At 40.3% G+C, this 4,775-nt stretch overlaps 1 annotated feature.

Annotated features, from left to right (window-relative positions):
• Window positions 4,275–4,775: an enhancer, noted in NCBI's record as "H3K4me1 hESC enhancer chr22:49785269-49785769 (GRCh37/hg19 assembly coordinates)". NCBI's record gives its function as "activates a minimal SCP1, AML or CMV promoter by ChIP-STARR-seq in naive H9 embryonic stem cells {active_cell/tissue: H9 hESC(naive)}" and the evidence as "EXISTENCE:reporter gene assay evidence [ECO:0000049][PMID:30033119]".

The raw sequence follows: 4,775 nt of genomic DNA on the forward strand, positions 1-4,775 counted from the left end.
CTGTGTGCACAGTCATACTGACTCACATCTAAGAGATTTTTTCTATGTGCACAGTCATACTGACTTACGTCTAAGAGATTTTTTTCTGTGTGCACAGTCATACTGACTCACGTCTAAGAGATTTTTTCTATGTGCAGAGTCATACTGACTCACGTCTAAGAGATTTTCTATGTCCAGTCATACTGACTCATGTCTAAGAGATTTTCTGTGTGCACAGTCATACTGACTCACGTCTAAGAGATTTTTTTCTATGTGCACAGTCATACTGACTCACGTCTAAGAGATTTTCTGTGTCCAGTCATACTGACTCACGTCTAAGAGATTTTCTGTGTGCACAGTCATACTGACTCACGTCTAAGAGATTTTCTGTGTGCACAGTCATACTGACTCACATCTAAGAGATTTTCTGTGTGCACAGTCATACTGACTCACGTCTAAGAGATTTTCTGTGTGCACAGTCATACTGACTCACGTCTAAGAGATTTTCTGTGTGCACAGTCATACTGACTCATATCTAAGAGATTTTCTGTGTGCACAGTCATACTGACTCACATCTAAGAGATTTTTTTCTATGTGCACAGTCATACTGACTCACGTCTAAGAGATTTTCTGTGTCCAGTCATACTGACTCACGTCTAAGAGATTTTCTGTGTGCACAGTCATACTGACTCACGTCTAAGAGATTTTCTGTGTGCACAGTCATACTGACTCACATCTAAGAGATTTTCTGTGTGCACAGTCATACTGACTCACCTCTAAGAGATTTTCTGTGTGCACAGTCATACTGACTCACGTCTAAGAGATTTTCTGTGTGCACAGTCATACTGACTCATATCTAAGAGATTTTCTGTGTGCACAGTCATACTGACTCACGTCTAAGAGATTTTTTTCTATGTGCACAGTCATACTGACTCACGTCTAAGAGATTTTCTGTGTGCACAGTCATACTGACTCATATCTAAGAGATTTTCTGTGTGCACAGTCATACTGACTCACGTCTAAGAGATTTTCTGTGTCCAGTCATACTGACTCACGTCTAAGAGATTTTCTGTGTGCAGAGTCATACTGACTCACCTCTAAGAGATTTTCTGTGTGCACAGTCATACTGACTCACGTCTAAGAGATTTTCTATGTGCAGAGTCATACTGACTCTGCAGCTAAAAATGCTTGGACTTCATCTTTTCCAATTCATATTGTTTTTATTTCTTTGTTTTTCCTAAGTTACTGGCAAGAATCTCCAGTACAATTTTGATAGAAGTGGAAGGAGTGGACGTCTTGGCCTGCTTCCTCTTCCTCAGGAAGAAATGTTCAGTATTTTAACATCAATTAAGGTGTTAGCTGTAAGTTTTTCATAAATGTCCTTCATCAGATTTTCCACGTTGACTCCTGTTTTGGCGAGGGTTTTTGCTATGAAGAGGTGCTGAATTTATCATGCACTTTTGCCACATCTATTAAGATAATTACGTTTGTTTTTTCCTCTTTTATCCTCCTGATGTGCATTACCTTGATTTTTTAATGTTAAACCAACCTTGCCTTCTGGAGTTAAAACCCACCTTGTCCCAATGCTTGATTTAAATAGAAAAATTTCATTAAGTCTTTCTGAATCTTTGTGGAGGAATGATACTGGTCTGCAACTACCCTCTTCATAATCTCTTTGATGGTGTTTGAGTCGATCCCACCCTTCTTATAAAAGAATTTGTTGGCCAGGTGCAGTGGCTCATGCCTGTAATCCCAGCACTTTGGGAGGCCAAGGTGGGTGGATCATTTGAGATGAGGAGATCCATACCAGCCTGACCAACATGGTGAAACCCCGCCTCTACTAAAAATACAAAAATTAGCTGGGCATGGTTGTGGGTGCCTGTAGTCCCAGCTACTTGGGAGGCTGAGGCAGGAGAATGGCACGAACCCGGGAGGTAGAGGTTGCCGTGAGCCGAGATGGCGCCACTGCACTCCAGCCTGGAGGACAGAGCAAGATTGTCTCAAAAAAAAAAAAAAAAAAAAAAGAATTTTTTAAAGATTGGGGTTCATTCTTTCTTAAATGTTTGAAAGAATTGTCTGGTAAAGCCATCTGAATATGGAGTTTTCTTGTTGGGAATGTTTTTGAGTATGAATTCAGTTTCTGTAATAGATTTAAGTTTACTTAGATTTTCTATTTGTTCCTGTGTCTGATTGGTTACTTCTTATTTTTCAAGGAATTTGTTTTTCCATCAAGTTGTTGAGATTGTTTACATAAAAGAATTGCTAATTTTCCCTTGCTAGACTTCCAATTTATGTAATATTAATTCCTGATAGTGGTGATTTGTGTTTTTCTTCTTTTATTTTTCTTGATCAGTGTTGTTAGAGGTTTACTAATATTATTAATCTTTTGAAAGAACCACCTTTGGCTTCAGTGGATTATTTTCTGTTTTCTATTTTATTACTTTCTGATCTGAGCTGAGTTCTGATTATTATTTTTTTTTACTTTAGTAAGTCCACCTTTCCCTTACTAGCTTCTTAAGGTGGGATCATGGTTTATGTATATCCGTTTTTTAAATGCATACATATATAAAGCTGTAAATTTCCCCCTAAATTCCATTTTAACTGCCTACCACAATTCTAATACTTTAGGTTTTCATTCCGATTCAATTCAAAATACCATCTCATTCCCTTTGTAATGTCTTCTTTCATGCACGGAATATTTAGAAGTATGTTGTTTAACTTGCAAAAAATTGTGGATTATTTAAGTGTCTTATTGCTACTTATTTCTACTTTAAAGCTGTTATGATTAGAGAACCTATTCTGTATAATTTTAATCATTTAATATATAAGACCATTTTTATAATCCGTCTTAAGGAAAATGTCATGTGCATTTGAAAAGAATGCATACTCTGTAGTTGTGGGTTGTAATGCTCTTTGAATATTAAGTAATCCAAGTTGGTTGACAGTACTTTTCTTATTCGATAAGCTTAAAGATTTTTTGGCTATTCTACCAAGGAATTACTAGATCAGTGATACAGGTGGCTGACCGTGGCTACCTGTTTCTCTCTATGTCTGTCCATTTTGCTTTAGGTAATCTAACGACAATCTCTGCTGTTAGGTTAATATATGTTGAAAATATTGTGCCTCTTTAATAAATTTGTCGTGATAAAATTCCCTTTTTCGGTGTCTCATAACACTCGTCCTCTTCAGCTCCACACTGTCTGATGCCAGCACAGCCCCGCCAGCTCTCGCACACTCAGAAGAGCTCCCGGGCCCGTCTCACCCTCTCACCTTCCTCCTCCCCACGTCGTTGCAGCTAAACCTGCTTCTTCCAGGAAGAATGTTCCTGTTTTGTTTTGATTCAGTCTCATAATATTTACCTTTCATTTTGAGCACTTAGTGTGTTTAGATTTGATATAATTATTGCTATGATGGGTTTAAGTCTCTCATTTTGAAGTTTGTTAAAAACTAATTCAGTGAGTTCTTTGTTCTGCTTGATTGTGAGTAAACTGTATATTTTTAGTATTCTATGTGACGTCTGTAATTGACTTTGTAGCCTTTCTCTGTATTATGTTTATATATTAGCCTAGGAATTAAGTACACATCGCTCAGTCATTATATTCACAGGACATCTTTCTATTTCAGAACCCTGAGAAAGCCTCAGAACCGCAGTTCCGCGCGGCATCCTTACGTCCTGCGTGGTCTCCTGTTGTATTTCTAGCTATGCTACAAAGTACACTGCGAATAATTTTGCTTCAAATACTGTTATTTAAATATTTAATTATCATTAATTAATATGCTAAATAAGATTATTTTAAATATATGTAATATGTTTTATTTTACATTAAACATTTATTTTATATTGCAATTTTGTATTAATATATTATATTGTATGCTAAATATATCTTTAATGTATTTTAAATTAATATAACAAATGAGATTATTTGAGTTATAGGGTCCTTGCTACTTTATGCTCAGATTCACAGTTTCTCAGCCACTGTCTTTGAATCCACAAATGCCTTCAGAGAAAAAGCTTCAGCATTCACACCCAGCCATGGCCGTTCACGTCCCACTCAGCACGTCTAAGCCAGTCTGTGCTGCTCCCTGGCCCAGACCTGTTTTTCCTCTGTCACCCTCTCCTCTGAAAGGGGCTCCAGGCTCCCTCAACTCAGCCCATCAGATATGAAGCTGGGGTCCTCCTGACCCCACACTCTCTTCCATCGGGGGTGATCTCTGCCTCACTGTCCTCACGCAGCCCCAGCTCCGGCATTGCACTCGAGGCCACCCGGAGCCCCATCTCACTCTCTCTGCACTCTGCCAGGCACTGCGAGAGGCATGGCTTTCAGCGGCACCCCCGAGAGAGGCCTCCCTAGCCAGGGTTTGCCCGCGGACGCCGCCCAGCCCTCCCTCCACGGTGCCCTGCACACTCTACCGGGAAGCAGCAGGGGCTCATGAGGGCGTCACGCCTTGCTCGGCTGTGAGTCTTGTCCATGGGGGTGATCTCAGGACCTGCGCCTGATGCACTCAGGAAACACTCGCCAAGACACACATGGGCCCTCACACCACAAGAAACAGCCCAGGCAGTGTGAAGAGCAGTCATCGCCATTCTTGTCTATGTTCACTCAGAATGACCCACAAAAATACACCTGCCCACGTGCCAGAGCGACCCTCCCTGGCCAGGCCGGGCATGAATGGAAGGCATGAGCATTTGAGACACTAAATTGAGATTACAGGATCAACCCCTGTAAAGCTAGGAGGCAGAAGCCAATGTGGAAATTGGAATTACTTTTGTGTGGGTGCCAGCATGTCTCCTCCGG

Source organism: Homo sapiens, chromosome 22 (genome assembly GCF_000001405.40).
Source record: "Homo sapiens chromosome 22, GRCh38.p14 Primary Assembly".
Taxonomy (NCBI): domain Eukaryota; kingdom Metazoa; phylum Chordata; class Mammalia; order Primates; family Hominidae; genus Homo; species Homo sapiens.